Here is a 19,915-nt window from a genome sequence, read left to right as displayed (position 1 = left end):
CATACCCTTCTGTAGATACTTTGTGGCAAAACAGTAGAATCCTGATATGATTTTGATTTAGTCTGAACTCTTGCTAGTTTGGCATCAAACTGAATCAAATTGAAAAGAAAGTTATTGAAACTCTAGACAATTAGAAACAATTGTTTCTATAATTATAATCCATGTTATCCTTTGACATGTAATCTGTAATTCAGGTGTAAATTACAGTATAGACAATAGAAAAATCTTTCTTTAAGAAATAATTTTTCAGAAAGAGCAAAGAACAGAAAAACAAGATTAACCCTGATTGCACGGCAAAATTACCTGGAGAGGTTTTTTTTTTCTTTGTTTCTAAAGTACCAAATGCCTGGGCACTACTTTAGAGATTCTGGTGTGCAGCTAGCGTCATCTTTTTCTCAAAACATCACGTGATTCTATAGTGCAGACAGGGTTTAGAATCTAGTTTAACTTAAATATAGGTAAAAATATTTTTACGTTAAAATGAGTGTATTATAAAGAAAATGTAATAAACAGTCAAGGAAGAAAACCTCACCTAGCTTTCTGCAGGAACTTTGAGGCTGAACAGTAGAATTTGAATACGATCTTGTCGATATAGTTTGAACCCTTGCTGGTTTCAATTAAACTGAATCAGGTTAAAAAAGTTCTCATAGGCCATTCTTAACAGGCCAATTTTTTTTTGTTTTTGCACAATATTCCATTATATAACTCTTCTCTTCAGATTTAGTTAACATAGCCTCTCTGAGGACTAAGAATAAACTCTGAGATTATGCTCTGGTTTGAGGAGAGAAATGGTTAGGTACAATGAAAACAAATAAGGAGCTGTGTATACCAGTCAAATAATAGACCAGTGATAAGGCCCAAATGGCAAACAAAATGCAAATTTCCAAACAGAGGAGGATTAGAAGTTGGTAGTAGATCTTGAAACATGGCCTATTAATTTCAGTTGGCCATTCAGCCTTTCCTGTGGTTTGTGGTACACTTGGTCAGATGGCAGCAGCAGCAGCAGCACCAGCAGCAAAGGGTATCTAAAGTCAACATCAGTCCTCTTTCTGCCCAGTGATTACTCAAGGTAACTCACCAAGTACCCTGGGGATTCCAAAGTTTCAGGAATATGAGTAGTATGTGATTTTAATTAAGACTTGTGAATTCTTACAAGGTAAAATGAAAGTTGGGGTGGGGGGAAGCAACGGAAGAATGATGGAAGGGTAGATTGATAGAGTCTAGAAAACATTTAAAGGACAAATATTTTGTCAAAGTACATTTGAGATTGTGATATCCGGTTAAATGAACTACTCAAGACTGTTTGTTTATTTATTTATTTTTTTCGTTCTGTTGCCCAGGCTGGAGTGCAGTGGCACAATCTCGGCTCACTGCTAAGTCTGCCTCCCGGGTTCAAGTGATTCTCCTGCCTCAGCCTCCTGAGTAGCTGGATAACAGGCATCTGCCATCACGCCCAGTTAATTTTTGTAATTTTTTTTTAGTACAGGCGGGTTTCACCACGTTGGCCTGGTTGGTCTCGAACTCCTGACCTTAGGTGATCCGCTCGCCTCGGCCTGCCAAAGTGCTGGGATTATAGGTGTGAGCCACCACACCCGGCCTACTCAAGACTTTTGAGCAAAGAGTTAGAGCCTCAGCCTTTGAGATGCCCTATTAGAAGTCCCTTAAAAAAAAAATTGTAGGAATTTGGTTTGTTTGCCCCCAGGATATATATTCTTCCAGAAAGTTATTAGGAAGAAATTTGTTTTTTTAATGAGAAATAAAGCAAAATAAATTTCTAGTTGGTTACTGGGTTTTGACAAATTTCGGCTGGGATGAGAATAAATGTGAAGCGTTAGAAACATTCTTCCCATGCTGGAATGGTAGAAATTATGAAACCTACATAGAATTTACCATAAAATGCAGATAATCCTTGAGTTTTCTGTCAGGGAAATGTGAGTGCTAAAAATACAATAGCTAAAATAAAGTTTCACTGTATTGGTTTAATAGCCAATTAGATACACTAAAGATAGAATTAGTAAGTTGGAGAATAGGTTAGAAGAAAATATCTACCCTGAGACAGGGAAAAACAAGAAAATGACATATACAGAAAAGAGCATATGAGACACAGGAACTGGTAGTAAAGTCTATGAAAGGCTGTTGTCTCTCACCTAGTGTTGGGCCTAAAGTTGCTGCAGTCAGAAAGGCCTGCAGTTAAAAGGAAAAGTTGGATGTCAAGTGGGAAATACTGAGAAGAAAAGTTCTCAGAGGAAGCAATATCCTCCCTAAAAACCAGGAACTTTCGAACAACTCAAGGGTCCACTTTCAGGTCAAGTGCTGAAAGGCAATGCAGATGACAGTTGTATGGTATGTGATTACTGCAATCATTTGGTGGAGAATGAGCATGTGTGAAGCCCTCTCACAGAATTGCTTCTAATCCTAAAATGTATCTCACTGTGATGAAAAACAATCAAAGTACAGTTTAGACTAAGGGATGTGTCCTCAAGTTTAGCAGACTCTTAAACACTTACTTCTAGTTGTAGCTTGATTATTTCATTTTGTTTTTCTTTTTCTTGACTTCTTAGCTTTGCATTTAACTCTGAAATTTCCATCTCCTTTTTCTCTATTAGTTCTTTGTGCTTTTCTTCATTTAATTCAACTGAATAAAATGAAATAAATAAAATTCATTTGTTAAAAATTTCAAAATTATTATAAGTTTGTATTTCTTTAGTGTTTTAAATCATTCCTAAAAAAGTAAATTTTATTAATGAAACATATTTTAGAAATGGTGTAGGTATAGAATAGCTTTTCTATGTTTTTTACAAGACCCTGAATAATGTTTGAGACACAGAAGTCACTTGCCAAATATTTTTGAATGAATAAGGTAATTTAAACTATTAAACATCAAAGGCCTGGAAAATAAATGGGAGATACAGTGGTTGAAGAGGGACACAAAGCCTGAGTTTCTAGGTATGAAGGGCTCAAACTACTGGATGACTCTAGAGCTACATGAAGCCCCTGCTATACTATTCCATATGATCAGGCCATTCTCATGTTCACATCATATCTTTATGCTTTATCAAATTTCTTCTTCTCCCAACTTTCTTATTCCTGTTAATGACACCATGACATCTAGGATGAGAGGCTCAAGAAAATCTTTTATTTTTAACGAGAAAGGAGACAATCTACAAGCCCCACAATGAAGGGCTTCCTAGCTTTCTTTTTTTTTTTTTTAATTTTATTATTATTATACTTTAAGTTTTAGGGTACATGTGCACCATGTGCAGGTTAGTTACATATGTATACATGTGCCATGCTGGTGTGCTGCACCCATTAACTCGTCATTTAGCATTAGGTATATCTGCTAATGCTATCCCTCCCCCATCTCCCCCACCCCACAACAGTCCCCAGAGTGTGATGTTCCCCTTCCTGTGTCCATGTGTTCTCATTGTTCAATTCCCACCTATGAGTGAGAACATGTGGTGTTTGGTTTTTTGTCCTTGCGATAGTTTACTGAGAATGATGATTTCCAATTTCATCCATGTCCCTACAAAGGACATGAACTCATCATTTTTTATGGCTGCATAGTATTCCATGGTGTATATGTGCCACATTTTCTTAATCCAGTCTATCATTGTTGGACATTTGGGTTGGTTCCAAGTCTTTGCTATTGTGAATAGTGCCGCAATAAACATACGCGTGCATGTGTCTTTATAGCAGCATGATTTATAGTCCTTTGGGTATATACCCAGTAATGGGATGGCTGGGTCAAATGGTATTCTGATATAGATATTTAGATAATAAATTTGTAGATCCTACTCTGTATGATTTAAACCTTTGAAATAGGTTGAAATTTACTTTTTCATTTATGATATGGTCAACTTTCTTAAATGTTCCATGCATACTTGAAAATAATACGTATTCCGCATTTATTGGGTATATCATTTATGTCAATTAGTATCAGTTGTTTATTTTGTTGCTTAAATTTTCTATATCATTACTAATTTTGCATATTTGTATGTACTTTTCTACCACTAAAAGGTGAATTAAAGTCTCTCATTATGATTGTGGATTTGTCTGTCACCTACTAGTTCTGCGAATTTTACTTGGTACATATACATTTAGAATTGTTGTTTTATTTCCCTGGTAAATCAAACACTTTACATCACAAAATATCCATCTTTTGCTCTAGAACTGCTTCTTGCTTTAAAGTATACTTTGTCCAATATTAGTATAGCTATGCCAGCTTCATGTTGGCTACTATTTGCATGTTATATTCTTTTCCATCTTTTATTTTAAATCTTTCTATAGTTTTGTATTTTAGGTATATTGAAAGCAGGATAGTAGCAGATTTTAATACTTATTCAATCTGGCAATCTTTTTTAATTGGAAATTCATTCAAGTTTAACTTAATGCATTTAGTAATATATTTGGGTTTAAATCAACTAGCTTATTATTTGTTGGCTTTTACATTTTATGTTCATTTCTCTCTTTTTTCTCATCTTCATTTAGACAGAATAACTATTTTTACTTCCCTTTTTTCCTCCTCTATTAGATTGATAATCATTAGCTTGATAAATATTCTTTTATTCTTCCTTTAGTGGTTATCTTAGAGTTTATGGCATGCCTACTTGACTTATTAGAATTTAATAAAATTAGTACTTTTATCACTTTATGGACATGATACAAACCTTAAAAACATTTTAACTCCATTTATTCCCCCTTTTGTCTTTGGTGTTTTTGTACTATGTTAACTTAGCTAAATTAGAACTATGTTTTCCAGAATTCCCTTGTCTATATGTTCTAAGGTAGAGTTAGCCGTAAGAGAAATCTCCACAAGGTTTGGAAGATGGAAGTATAGCAAGAACTAATTTTCTCTGATGTTTAGTATAGGATGCTGGGCAGTGTTTCAGTTCACACATGGTGTTGCTGGCCTTCTGGCTCACCAAATCAGCAGCTATTATTTTTTGAAGGTCAATGTAGAGCCCCAGGGAACAGTGCAATTTATACAAGTTGTCACTTATCAAAGGATCATCTCAGTAATAAGGAAAAACGTTTGGTTCCACAGCTTCTTAAGCTCCCAACAGATTTCTTTTTTTAGCTGCTAGAAGTCTCAGGCCAGGTGTCCTTGAAGCTCAATGGCGTAGGGCACCATCTTTTCCTGCAGGTCGTCATGTCATTAAGGTCGAAGGAGGTATAAGAAAGATGCAAATTCCAGTTTGTTCTCAGTATTTCCACTTGACATCCAACTTTTCTTTTTACCTGTAGGCCTTTCTGACTGCAGCAACTTTAGGCCCAACACTAGATGAGAGACAACAGCCTTTCATAGACTTTACTACCAGTTCCTATATCTCACATGTTCTTTTCTGTATATGCCATTTTCTTGCTTCTCCCTGTCTCAGAGTAGATATTTTCTTCTAACCTGTTCTCCAGCTTACTAATTCTATCTCCAGTGTATCTAATTGGCTATTAAACCAATACAGTGAAACTTTATTTTTACCTACTGTGTTTTTAGCACTTACATTTCCATCTACTTCTCTAGTATAATTTCCAGTTCTCCATAAAAATTCCCCAAGTCCAGCTGAGCTTGGTGGCTCACACCTGTAATCCCAGCACTTTGGGAGGCCAAGGCAGGTGGCTCACCTGAGGTCAGGAGTTCAAGACCAGTCTGACCAACATGGTGAAACCCTGTCTCTACTAAAAATACAAAAATTAGCCAGGGATGGTGACACGTGCCTGTGGGCCCAGCTACTCAGGAAGCTGACGCAGAAGAATTGCTTGAACCTGGGAGGTGGAGGTTGCAGTGAGCCGAGATGGCAACACTGCACTCCAGCCTGGGTGACAGAGTGAGACTGTGTCTCCAAAAAAACAAAAAGAAAATTCCCCAAGTTCTTTATTTCTTTGATTATATTAATCAGAGTCATTGTAAATTATATATCTGATAATGCCATTATCTGGATCATAAATGAATTTATATTTATTTCCTTTTAAAAATGTTTATAATTGAGCTTGCTTAGGTTTTTTTGTATTTTTAAAGTCAGATTTACTGCAGCGTAATTTATATATAGCAAAATCTCTTTTGAGGCGTATAGTTTGAGGAGTTTCGAGGACCATATACAAGAATCTAACCATCACCACGATCAGGTAAAATTTTTCTATCACTTCAAAAGGAGCCCTTGTGCCCCTTTATAATCTATCCTTTTGCTCAAATACTGGCAAACATTGATCTGATTTTCGTCACCATAATTTTCATTTTCAAGAATGTTGTATAAACAGAATTATATAGTATGTGGACTTTTGTGTCTGGCTTCTTTGATTTAGCATATTGCTTCTGAAGTGATTGTATTGTTGAATGTATCAGCAGTTTGTTGCTTTTTATTGCTGAGTAATTTCCATTACATGGATGTACCATGATTTGTTTATTTATGTTAATGGATTTGCTAGAGTCCAGGTTTGGGCCATGATGAATAAGGTTGCTGTAAACATTCACAAACAGGTCTTTGGGTAGACATATGCTTTCATTCCTCTTGGGTAAATACCCAGGAGTGCGAATGCTGGGTCAGATGGTGTGTTATGTGGCGCCATGACAATGAGCCTCTCAGATCTCAGGAATCCTAACTGATCACTTGCCCCAGCTCCTGCACTCTAAAATCCATTACTGCATTTAAGCTGAGGCCATGCTTCTATGGTTGCAACTAGTCAATGACAGGGTATGGAAGGAATACTACTGTGGGCCAATTCTGGGAGATGTCTAATCCTATCTTGGTGTTTCCTCCTTTAAGGACCTGAACTAGCACAAGGAAACAGGTATAATGGGGTTCTAAGATGGGCTCACTTACCACTTTCTGGGCAATGAAGAAGCCATCCTTAGTGGTATGTGGAGCACTGGTAGCTCCTAGTATACAATGGTGTTAATAATTACTACAGATTTCACCAGAAGTAATCTGGAAAAATGTCCTGGTGGTGGGGAATGCCTTGCAAGACATTAGTTATCATTAAGACATTTGAAATATGGATGGAAATAATGCCCACAAATGCAGTAGAGTTATCTGGTTACTGCTAAATTAAATTGACATTATACTAAAGGATAATGAGAAATTGAGGGCTGTTAGCAAAAAGTTACAGAATTAAAGAATAAATGTGAGAGTGAGAGATCTCTTTGGTAGCTTACAAACATGTTCTTACCTCTGGTAATGGAACATCAAACACAGCTAAGCAACAGAAAATATAATAGATTTGAAGAACTCCAGAGATGTTTAAATGCTTAGCCAAAGCAGTTCTACTATGATAAAATTTGGACCCCGGTTGGAAAGACCTGAGATCCTGAAAAATAGAATGGAAACATGTGGATGGATGCCTCTGAGGATGCTAGCTCTAAAGATTTCCCTAAGCCCTTGGAGTCTGAAGAGGTGGCCCACTCTTTCCTAGTAAAAGCTAGCAATTCCCCTGTGGTGAAGGATGCAGAGGCTGCTCTCAGAAGCTGCCTCGATCTCCTCTTTTGGCTGTTAGGTCAATAACTAGGGTCAAGATGCACCATAACTTGGCTGGGAGATAAGGGAGAAAAGTGATTATATCTAAAAGTATCTGCAAGAATTATCTAGGTTGTACTGGGAAGAGCTATGTGAGTATCCCTGAGAACAGATTTTGAGGCTGCTGGATCAAAGAAGATAGAAAGTAAGACTAGGTAAGCAAGAATTCATTGACTCAGCATTACTCTTCAGGGACCACAGATGTAATATCCTAGCAAGGGCCCTAGGAGATGGGGCAAATGCTCTGCTAGAGTGGCCTTAAACCTCTAAAGAAAGCAATGACCAAAGCTGAGTGAAGTGAAAATATCTGAGCTGCCTGACAGATAGTAAAGAAAGAAATAAGGAGGCTGTAGAAAGTTGGCATGCTAGTAGGAATATATTACATGAGGTAAGACAACCTACAAAAGGATTATGTTCTTCAGGAGGGCCCAGAAGACACATTATTAGCCAAGGCCACCAGAAATGTGCTGGTGAGGGGTAAAAAAGTATCACAAAAAATTCAGTGATCAGTCTCCTTTGCAAGCCAGGGTTGACAGTAAAATAGGTTGCCATAGAGCTAGGTTTATTAATACCCATGGGGATGGCAGGCCTCTCCACCACAAAGTAATAAAAGCCAGATGATAGTGCTTAACTGCCAAAAGGCAGGAGGCCACAATTACCAAATTACCAGGAAGGCTGGAGAGCAGCCAAAAAGACTTGATGTGCAGGTAGTTGTAGAGATAGTTAATAGATGGATAGCCAATTCTGCTTAACAGGTACTACAATTTAAAAAAATAAAAAATGGAAGAACACAAGGCTTAGGGTACATGCCTCAATTAAAAAATTATCATCCTTTTCTCAGTCTCCAGACCTGAACCAATTATGGGATCTGGAACCCATTGGCTAAATATATGGTCAGGTCACTAGGAAGAACACTTAAATAATACTTCTAGTATCCCTTTAGGAAGAGAGGCCAACAAGAACCACAGAAGAGTTGCTACATGAACTCATGTAGAGAAGTAACTCTGTGTAGTACAGTAGGTGGAGTGTTGTAGCCATGAAAATGCACCTATTAGATCTCCAATTTCGGAGAGCATAATTGACTCCCTGTTTTCATGACCATGTTTATGCTGAGGTCATACTTCTCAAGAGCTACTCCCAGTCAATGACTGAGCTTGATAGGGCTACGAAGGCAAGCTTATTCCTGCAAGTTGCAGAACTTATTTAATGGGCAAATTTGGCTCAATTTTGTTGAAACTTTCTTAGAAAATGTTACAATCTAACACTTTCCCTACCCAAGATTCCTTCTTTTCTTCTCTTCTTCACAGAGGTTAAACCTGTATTACAGACTGACAACTTACCCAGTCTCTCCTGGTTCCCTTCCCATTTACCCTCACAAATGTTTTCCCCAATAAACTTCTCAAATGTCTAATCCTGTCTTGGCATCTGTTTCGCAGAGGACCCAAATTAACTCATTGCATTTTTAAAAAACTGCCAAACTATTTTTAAAGTGACTGTACCATTTTATAGTCCCAGTAATAATGTTTCAGAGTTCCAGTTGCTCCATTTGGCATTATCAACATGGCATTGATAATTTTTAAGATTTTACCTGTTCTAAAAGGTGTGAGGTTTTAATTTGCATTTCCCTACCTACTAATTATGTTGAGTATCTTTTCATGGCTTATTTTTCATCTGTATGTGCCTGAACTCGAACTCCCAACCTCAGGTAATCCGCCCGCCTTGGCCTCCCAAAGTGCTGGGATTTACAGGTGTGAGCCACCGTGCCTGGCCCTTCATCTGTATGTCTCTGGGATAGTAACTGTCCAAATATTTTTGCCATTTCCTTGTTGAGTTGTTTGACTTCTTCTTATTGAATTCTTAGTGTTCTTTATATATTTTTGGATATAAACCCTTTATCAAATATCCATTTCCAAGTCTATGGATTGCCTTTTCATTTTCTTAACAGTATTAAAGAACATAAATTAATAACTTTGACGAAGTCCAATTTAGAACTTTTGCCTTTATTGTTGGTGCTTTTTGTTGCTTTCCAAGAAGTTGTGCCTAACTCAAGATCACAAAGATAATCTCTTATGCTTTCTTCTGGTAATTTTACAGATGTAGGTTTTATATGTAACTTATTACCCATTTTAAGTTAATTGCTGCATATGATGTGCATAAAGATAGGCTCATTAAGGAAGGTTTTCAACAACCATATAAAACCGATTAACCCTCAACATAGGCTTATGAGATCTGCTTTACTGAAGGAGGAAAATTTCATTAGTGAAATTATATTCAATATGCTTTACATATACATAAAAATTATTAATTATACATTTAATACTAATTTTAATTTTATAAGAATACAAACTGTTTCACATTAGATAACATTAAGTGTAAATACTAGGAACCAAATTTAGAAATGTTGTATTTACATACATAAATATATAGGAAGGTACAAAACCCAAATTAAAATGCATCAAGGGGCTAGGTGCAGTGGCTCATGCCTGTAGTCTCAGCACTTTGGGAGGCCAAGGCAGGTGGATTACTTGAGGTTGGGAATTCGAGACCACCCTGGCCAACATGGCTGTCTAGGAATGTTGGATGCTAGTTCTTCTCAAAGAGATCAAAGTTACTTGTGAATGGACATGTTCTGAAAGGAAAACTGAGGGAAGAGAGCCAGGACCTGTCAGAGAGCCCACAGGAAGAAGCCAAAGTGCAGAAAATGAAGGCAGCAAGACTCTAGCAGAGATCAACACCAAAGGAACTCAGAGCCCTGCAGAAAGGGTAAGTGAGGGTGCTTCTTGTCTTTCCTCACTCCTGCAACAATCTGCTGACTGCCAAACTACTAAGGAGGTCGTCTGCCCTTGTGACACTGGGCAATACTGTTGGTGGTCATTTAGGAACTTCCTGAGGAAAGAAAACCAGGTGGCTAGCTCATGCAGGCATGCCTGCGTATGCCTCAGGCCTGAACTGAGATGGTGGGTGCTGTACTGGCTGTGTACCTGTCGTGGGCCACTGCTGCTGCCCAAGGGATCTCTGTCTTTGCATTACCATACCACCAAATCCCCTGCAAATATACCCCACAAGCTGCTCTGAGTTTGGCAAGTACGGGGAACCTGCAGGTCCATGGGAAGCTACAGGACCATGTAGGCACAACTTCTTGGAAAGCAACAAAAAGCACAAACAATAAAGGCAAAAGTTATAAATTGGACTTCATCAAAGTTATTAATTTATATTCTTTAATACTGTTAAGAAAATGAAAAGACAATCCATAGACTTGCAGATGGATATTTGATAAAGGATTTATATCCAAAAATATATAAAGAACACTAAGAATTCAGTAAGAAGAAGTCAAACAATTCAACAAGCAAATGGCAAAAATATTTGGACAGTTACTATCCCAGAGACATACAGATGAAGGACCAGGCACGGTGGCTCATGCCTGTAATCCCAGCACTTTGGGAGGCCAAGGCAGGCAGTTTACCTGAGGTTGTGAGTTTGAGTTCAGAAGGCTAAAAAGAGGACCTCAGTCTCTTCTGGTTTGTAAGGCTTCTGTAAGAAGTCTACTATGTTAGCCTGATTGGATTTCATTTATAGGTAATTTGGCTATTTTCTCTAGCTGCCTTTGAGGGTTTTTTGTTTTTTTTTTGGCATTGACCTTAAATAGTCTAATGATTATATGGCAGACTTCTTACAGAAGCCTTACAAGCCAGAAGAAACTGAGGTCCTCTTTTTAGCTTTCTTAAAGAAAAAAAAAAATGCCATCCAAGAATTTTATATCCACCAAACAAGGAAGGAGAAATAAAGTTTTTTTCCAAATAAGTAAGTGCTAAAGGTATTCATCATCACCAGACCAGACCTACAAGAAATGCTCAAAGGAGTTTTAAACATGGAAACAAAAGGACAATACTTGCTATCATAAAAGCACGCAGAAGTACAAAGTTCACAGATCCTATAAAACAAACAACTGAGACTATAAAGCTCACTAACAACACTCTAAAGGGAACAAAATGCCACATATAAATATTAATCATAAACAGCCTAAATGTTCCACTTAAAATACACAGATTGGCAAATTGGGTTAACAAAGCAAGACTCAACCATCTATTGACTTCAAGAGACCCATCCTATGTGTAATGACACCATAGGTTCAAAGTAAAGGGGTGACGAAAGATCTACCATGCAAATAGAAAATGAAAAAGAACAGGGGTTGATATTCTTGTATCAATTAAAACAGACTTTAAACCAACAACAGTAAAAAAGACAAAGAAGGGCATTATATAATGATAAAGGCTTCAATTCAGCAATTACCTAACTACTATATAATTACCTAACTACTATTATATAATGATAAAGTCTTCAATTCAACAAAAAGACTTAACAAGTGATTTAACTGTGCCCAACACTGGAACACCCAGATTTATAAAACAAATATTATTAAACCTAAGAAAATAGATAGACAGCTGTACAATAGTAGTGGGGTTGTCAATGCCCCATTGACAGATAAAGAATTCAAAATATGGATTGCAAGGCAACTCAAAGAGATCAAGAGAAAGTTGAAAACCAACACAGAGAAACCAAGAAAATGATTCAGGATATAAAAGAGGAGGTAGCTACATTTTAAAAAGCAAAACAAAACAAAAACTTCTGGAATTAAAAAATTCACTAAAGGAATTTTAAAATATAGTTGAGAGTTTTAGCAACAGACTAGACCAAGCAGAAGGAATAATTTAAAAGCTTGGAGACCAGTCTACTGGATCATGGAGGCTGAAAAATAATAAAGAAACTCTGGACTTTAATTGGACTTTTGACCAAATGAACCTAATAGACATCTACAGAACATTCCACTCAACAACTGCAGAATATACATTTTTTCTCATCTGTGCATAGAACATTGTCTAAAATTGACCATATGCCTGATCATAAAACAAGTCTCAATAATTTTTTAAATAAAATTATATCAAACGTATATGTGGACCATAATGGAATAAAATCAGAAATACATACCAAAAGGAACTTGCAAAACCACACAAATACATAGAAACCAAACAACTTGCTCCTGGTTGACTTTTAGGTAAAAAACAACAACAAAAAAAACAGAAATGAAAACTTATTTTGAAACAAAAGAAAATGCAGTCATAACATACCAAAACCTCTAGGATACAGAAAAGTAGTATTAGGAGAAAAGTTTATAGCACTAAATGCCTACCTGAGGAAGACAGATGTAACATTAACAACCCAACGTTGCACCTAAATGAGCCAGAAAAACAAGAACAAACCAAACTCAAAGGTAGCAGAAGAAAAGAAATAACAAAAGATCAGAGAAGAACTAAGTGAAAATGAGATGAAAACAAAACTCCAAAAATCCATACAAAGGATCAATGAGACAAAAACTGGGTTTTTTGAAAGGACAAACAAAAGTGATAGATCACTTGCTAGATTAACCAAGAAAAACAGAGAGAAACAGAAGTTTCCAAATAAGCACAATCAGAAATGATAAAGTTGACATTACAACTAATACCACAGAAATACAAAAGATCTTCAGTGACTACTATGAACATTTCTATGTGCACAAACTAGAAAATCTAGAGCAAATGGAAAAATTCCTGGAAACATACAACCTCCAGAGATTGAACCAGGAAGAAACTGAAATTCTAAATGGGCCATTAATGTGTTATAAAATTGAATAAATAATAAAAAATATACCAACAACAACAACAACAACAAAATCCCAGGACTAGAGTATTTACAGGCCAGCCAAATTCTACCAGATGTACAAAGAAGAGTTGGTACCAATATTACTGAAACTATTCCAAAAAATTGAGGAGGAGGGAGGCCTCTCTAACTCATGCTATGAAACCAGTATCATGCTGATACCAAAATCTGGCAAGGACCCAGTAAAAAATAAAACAACAGGCCAATATCCCTGATAAACATAGATTCAAAAATCCCCAACAAAACAGAATCCAGTAACACCTCAAAAAGATAATTCATCAGGATCAAACGGCCTTATTTCAGGGATGCAAGGATGGTTCGATATATGCAAGTCAATAAATGTGATTCGCTACACAAACAGAATCAAAAACAAAAACTATATTATCATTTCAGTATATGCAGAAAAAGCATTTGGTAAAATCCAACACCCTTTATAATAAAAACCCTAAAAAATAGGCATTGAAGGAACGTACCTCAAAATAACAAGAGCCATACATGACAAACTCACAGCCAACATCATCCTGAATGGGGAAAAGTTGAAAGCATGTCCCCTAAGAACTGGAACAAAACAAGGATATCCATTGTCACCACCCCTATTCAACATAGTACTGAAAGTCTGTAGCTAGAGCAATCAGGAAAGAGAAATAAATAGTAGCCATTCAAATTGGAAAAGGGGAAGTCCAATTTTACCTGTTTGCTGATAATATGATTCTACATCTAGAAAGCCCTAAAGATTCATCTAAAAGATTCTACACCTAGAAAACCCTAAAGATTCCCCCTAGACCTGACAAATGACTTCAGTAAAATTTCAGGATACAAAATGAATGCATCAAAATCAGTGACATTCTTATAAACCAACAACACTCAAGCTGAGAACCAAATCAAGAACTCAATCCCATTAACAATTACCATACACACACAAAATTACCTGGAAATACATTTAACAAAGAAGATGAAAAACCTCTACAAGGAGAACAAAACAGTTTGGTAATAGAAATCATAGATGACACAAACAAATGAAAAAGCATTCCATGCTCATGGATAGGAAGAATCAATATCATCAAAATGACTATACTACCCAAAGCAATCTACATATTCAATTTCTATCAAATTAACAATGTAAGTTTTCACAGAATTAGAAAAAGCAGCTTTAAAATTTATATGGAACCAAAACAGAGCCTGAATAGTCAAAGTAATTCTAAGCAAAAGAACAAAGATGGAGGCATCACGTTACCCTACTTCAAACTATTCTACAAGGCTATAATAGCCAAAACAGCATAGTACTAGTACAAAAATGGAAACATAGATCTGTAAAACAGAATAAAGAACCCAGAAATAAAGCCACACACCTGCAACAAACTAATGTTCAAAAATTCTACAAAAATAAACAATGAGGAAAAGATTCCCTATTTATTATAACAAACAGTGCTGGGAAAACTGGTTAGCCATATGAAAAAGAATTAAACTGGACCTCCATCCCTTACCATACACAAAAATTAACTCAAGATTGATTAAAGACTTAAGTGTAAGACCTTAAACTATAAAAATCCTAAAAGAAAACATAGGAAAAACTCTTCTGGACATTGGCCTAGGCAAAGAATTTATGACTAAGACCTCAAAAGCAAATGCATCAAAAACAAAAATAGACAAATCGGATTTAAAGAGTTTCTGTACAGCAAAAGAAACAATCAACAGCATAAACAGACAACCTACAGAATGGGAGAAAATATTTGCAAGCCGTATATCCACCAAAGGACTAATATTCAGAATCTACAAAGAAGTTAAACAAATCAACAAGACAAAAACAACCCCATTACAAAGTGGGCAAAGAGGACTTGAACAGACACTTCTCAAAAGAAGACATACACACAGCTGACAAGCATATGAAAAAATGTTCAACATTACTAATTATCAGAGAAATGCAAGTTAAAACCACAATAAGATACCTTCTCAAACCAGTCAAAATGACTAATAGTCAAAATGAGTATTACTAAAAAGTCAAAAAAATAACAGATGTTGTCAGGGATGTGGAGTAAAGGGAACAATAATGCACTGTTAATGGGAATGTAAATTAGTTTCACCCCTATGGAAAACATTACAAAGATTTCTCAAATAACTAAAAATAAAATTACTATTCAACCCAGTAATCCTACTATTGGGTATCTACCCAAAGGAAAATAAATTGTTTTTATCAAAAAGACACTTGTACTTGCATGTTTATCACAGTTCTATTCACAATAGCAAGTCATGAAATTAACCTAAGTGCACATCAATGATGGATTGGATAAAGAAAATGTGGTATATATACACCATGAAATACTACGCAGCTGTAAAAGAGAATAAAACTGAATTATTTGCCAACATGGTTGGAGCTGGAGGGCATCATTCTAAGTGAACTAACTGAGAAACAGAAAGTCAAATACTGCATGTACTCACTTATAAGTGGGAGCTAAACAATGGGTAGTCATTGACATAAAGATAGAAACCATAGACACTGGGAACTCCAAAAGAAGGGAGGGTGGGAGGGGTGAGGGTTGAAAAATGATCTACCACGAGTTATGTTCACTATATAATTGATGAGTTCACTAGAAGCCCAAACACCAGCATTATACAAAATACCCATGTAACAAACCCACACATTATATCTGTTGAATCAATAACAAAAAAGCAAGTTTATTTTAAACTTACCTTTTCTCTGCATGTCCTGATAAAGTTTGCTTATTTCTTTCTTATATCCCTCCTCTTTGATTTTCATTTCACTTACAAGTTTGGCAATATTATTCTTATATTCCTAAAGATTAAAATATATATTAATTTTTAAAATTTAAATATGTGTATATAACTTCTGATTCCTAGAAAGGTGAAATTCTCCATTCATATTACTTTTTAAATACTTTAAAAATTCTCCATTTATGTTACTTTTTTAAAAGTTACTATAAATGTAATATAAATGAACAATTTCACCTTTCTAATAATTAAAAGTTATATCTACAAGGAAAAATATTGTTCATTGTTTGAATAATCAGCTTTGAGATAGACCCATTTTATTTTATTTTTTGTATGTATAAAGTATTTATTTTTTAATTTAAATTTTTGGCCTGGTGTGGTGGCTCACGCTTGTAATCCCAGCACTTTGGGAGGCTAAGGCAGGCAGATCACGAGGTCAGGAGATCGAGACCATCCTGGCTAACACGGTGAAACCCCATCTCTACTAAAAATACAAAAAAATTAGCTGGGCGTGGTGGTGGGCACCTGTAGTCCCAGCTACTCGGGAGGCTGAGGCAGGAGAATGGCGTGAACCCGGGAGGCCCTGAAGCTTGCAGTGAGCCGAGATGGCACCACTGCACTCCAGCCTGGGGGACAGAGCGAGACTCTGTCTCAAAAAAAAAATTTAAATTTTAATTTGAAAATTAAAAATTATATATATTTATGATGTACAACATGATGTTTTAATATATGTATACATTGTGGAATGCCTAAACTCAAGCCAATTAACATATCTATATTATGGATATGTTAAATATATGTTAAATATGTGAGGTATATCCATTTGCCTCATATATTTATCACTTTTTTGTGGTGAGAACATTAAAAAACTACTCTCTTAGCAATTTTGAAGTATATGATACATCGTTATTGATAACAATCACCAAATTGTACAATAGCTCTCCTGATTCTATTCCTCCTTTCCAACTAAAATTTTTTATCCTTTCACCAACATCTCCCCAATTGCTGCCTCCACCACAGCCTAACCACCACTCTACTCTCTGCTTCATGAATTCCATAAGAAAGATCAATTTCTGATCCAAGGAGATAAGATAAAGATATTACAGAAACAATGTCTTTTTTTATCTTTGCTTTCTGGATACTCATTACCAGGGTTTAGAATATTAAGGATGCTCAAAATATTTAATTTTATGAATAAATGCCACTACAGAATTAAGGTATGTTCAATATAAGCCAAAACTATACATTAGAGCCAACAAAAGGCACTGTTCAATAGCTAGCAAGCTTACTATAATGTAAGATGAGTCTCTTTGAATGCAAGCTGAACTTCTGTTTCCAAAAATTATATAAATATTCCTAATTCCCAGAGCAAGATTAAGCATTACCCATGGTAAGTGTATGCTTTATGAGGAGGCATAGAGAGAAAGATGAGTTTGGGATTTGCAAAGTGCTTGACAGCTGCCTGAGATTAGCTTCTTAGGTTGTTGAAGGATAGGGGTGATTTATTATGCTAAGAACAGGGAGAGGAGCATTGAGAGTGGTGATGGAAGACAGTTATTTTACAATTGTGAAGATAAATTTTACAACTTTACCGGGGGTATGGTCCTACATGAAGAAATTATTCAGAGGCCTAAAATGTAGGCAAGAGAAAAGGAAAGCAGGAAGAATAAAAGTTAAGTATGATAGTAATAAAAAGGCAATAATAAAGGCAAGAGGTCAATAAAAGCCTCTAATACCTAACAGCTGGGACTCACCATTGTGTTCCCAACTCCTTGTGTGTAAATACATGTATATATGTGCACACACATATATCTTGATATATATTTCTTGAATGAATGGGAGTGCCAATAAGAATTATTTAGGTCAGAACTGTTAACCTAGAGCCAGTGAATAGGCTTTTGATCAACTTCCAAATTTTAAGGTAAAATTATACATGTATTTATTTGTGTGTGTGTATGTGTGTGTGTGTGTGTGTGTGTGTGCGCGCGCGCGCATTTTTCTCAGTGAGGATTCATAGCTTTTAATAGATATTTCATGGTACTGAGGAGGTTAAACAGTTTAAAACAGGTCAAGACACACTGGCTTCTATGCCCACAATTAAAAATTGGCATACATTCCTCCATATTATCTCAGTTCAAGAGATTTTGTCTGGATTCCTGTTTGTTCTACTTATCCTGCCAGGCAACTTGTAGGAATGGACAAAGCTATTCAACTTCTCGGTTCTAATTAAAACTGGGCAGGTGAACCCAGCTGGCAATCCCACAAATTGCCATTTTCTATATATCTAGATTTCTAGATGGGCAACTACAGAGCAGCTTTTATAAACTACTCCTGACAACTGTGTGCACTAAGCTGTTGCTGCTCTGAGAAACCACAAGAGACAAACCTATGTACCTTTCTATTCTCCACTGATTTTTGCCACAGGAAGATGTCACCAGGAAAGTGGAATGCTGCCAGTTAATTCGGTGAGACCCAGGATTTGCATTTCAGCCTCCAGGCATGAAGACTATTCTATCTGGGTTGAGCCAAGTTCTATCCCACTAGATCTTCTCTTCCACTTTAGCCTGTGCCATTCCTAAAAAATGTAATCTTTTCATTTTTCTAAGGAGACTAATCCCCAATAGGTTACAATTGGTTGTCTTCTTTTCATATGCTTTCTGGGAATTTTAAATTCCAAGGAATAGCCTCCAGTTTCACTCTTGATATAAAAAACAATGATTCTCTCTATACAAGTTGCAAAATCCTTCTACTCTCACAAATACTGCTATTGGGTACCTCCTGAGTTTGTTCCTGGGGAGTTTTCTCCATGAATTTTAGATGTGTTCAGAGGTTTTGAATTAGCAAATCTGCGTTGTCATAGTTTGCTTTGGGCAGCCCCTAAGTAAGAAATTCAGACTCTTGGGTTGTGGTGTTTTCTCTTTAATTTCTTCCCCTCTGAACATTCCTGTAGTATTCTCAACAAAGCAGTATCCTAGTGCTTGAAGTTTTAGAAAGGAAAGCAGGTCAAATTTTCTCCCCCTGGTTCCCCACCCCAATTACAACCTGACTTTACCATCTATTTTTGAGATCTAGAGTCAATATATTAAAAGGATTGGGAAAGAATAAAGGGAAAAAGGAAAAGAAAGGGGGAGAAAGGGTAGGATTCATTTCAGAAATACTTAAAAACCATCTCAAAATTGGTGATGAAAAGCTAAATTTTCTAAGAGCATAGCCAGAATGCTACTTATTACTGTACAGGATTAACCAGAAGTTCTGGGCAGATTTCTTCAGAGGGTCCTCAGATGAGGAACCAGACTGAATTTAGAGAAGATTCTTCAAGTTGAAAGCTCCTATAGATTCAACTTGAGTTTTGAGGATCTTTTGTCTGCTAGAATTTGACATATTAGCTCTTGAGAGATGAGGAAGTTAGCATAATGAACCTCTCAAAGAGCAGAGGGAACTGACATTTATTTAGCATCTTTTATGCTTTTTACACGCTGTTCATGTGTTCTACAACTGCTGTCACTACACTGTTCCTACAGGAGATAAGGAAAAGTAGCAGAGGGTATGGTGGCTCCTGGGAGAGAAATAATTTGTGATCCACATGAAATGCCCCCTGTATTGGAATGGTGTAATGATTACCCAAATCATAAAGAGTATAGATTCATTTACATTATAATAAGAAAGTTCACAAGTAGTAACAAATAGAGTTTACTAGAGTAAAACCTCTATTAACATAATTGAAAATTATGTAGCAAAATAACTGCATCTCTTTTTGGTAGAAAGAAAAAGTAATGCAAGTTATTTGTTAGTACATTATATTTTGTAAAAAAAAAAAACTCTTAAAACTAGTATTGCTTTGAAAACAAATTGTCATTTACTAAAGATTTTGGCATATATACGTATATCTCCACACACACACACACCCACAAACATTTGGCTGTGTTTATTAATTTAAAAACCTCTTTTTTTTTCCTAATTTGAAAAGATAAATCTCCACAGGGACTTGA

At 36.1% G+C, this 19,915-nt stretch overlaps 1 protein-coding gene across 2 annotated transcripts in view; it reads right to left on the bottom strand.

Moving 5' to 3' along the window:
* Positions 1–19,915, bottom strand: part of CCDC152 (coiled-coil domain containing 152) — a 45,622-nt gene that overhangs the window by 2,976 nt on the left and 22,731 nt on the right. For both annotated transcript variants that reach the window (NM_001134848.2, XM_047416584.1), the window contains exons 6-8: positions 15,888–15,990; positions 2,508–2,635; positions 6–89 (exon numbers count right to left, since the gene is read on the bottom strand). In NM_001134848.2, the coding sequence (NP_001128320.1) occupies positions 6–89; positions 2,508–2,635; positions 15,888–15,990 (315 nt within the window). The remainder of the gene's footprint in view (positions 1–5; positions 90–2,507; positions 2,636–15,887; positions 15,991–19,915) is intronic.

Source organism: Homo sapiens, chromosome 5, assembly GCF_000001405.40.
Source record: "Homo sapiens chromosome 5, GRCh38.p14 Primary Assembly".
NCBI lineage: Eukaryota > Metazoa > Chordata > Mammalia > Primates > Hominidae > Homo > Homo sapiens.
The sequence above is the reverse complement of the archived record's forward strand: the minus strand, read 5'-3'. Positions and strand labels throughout refer to the sequence as shown.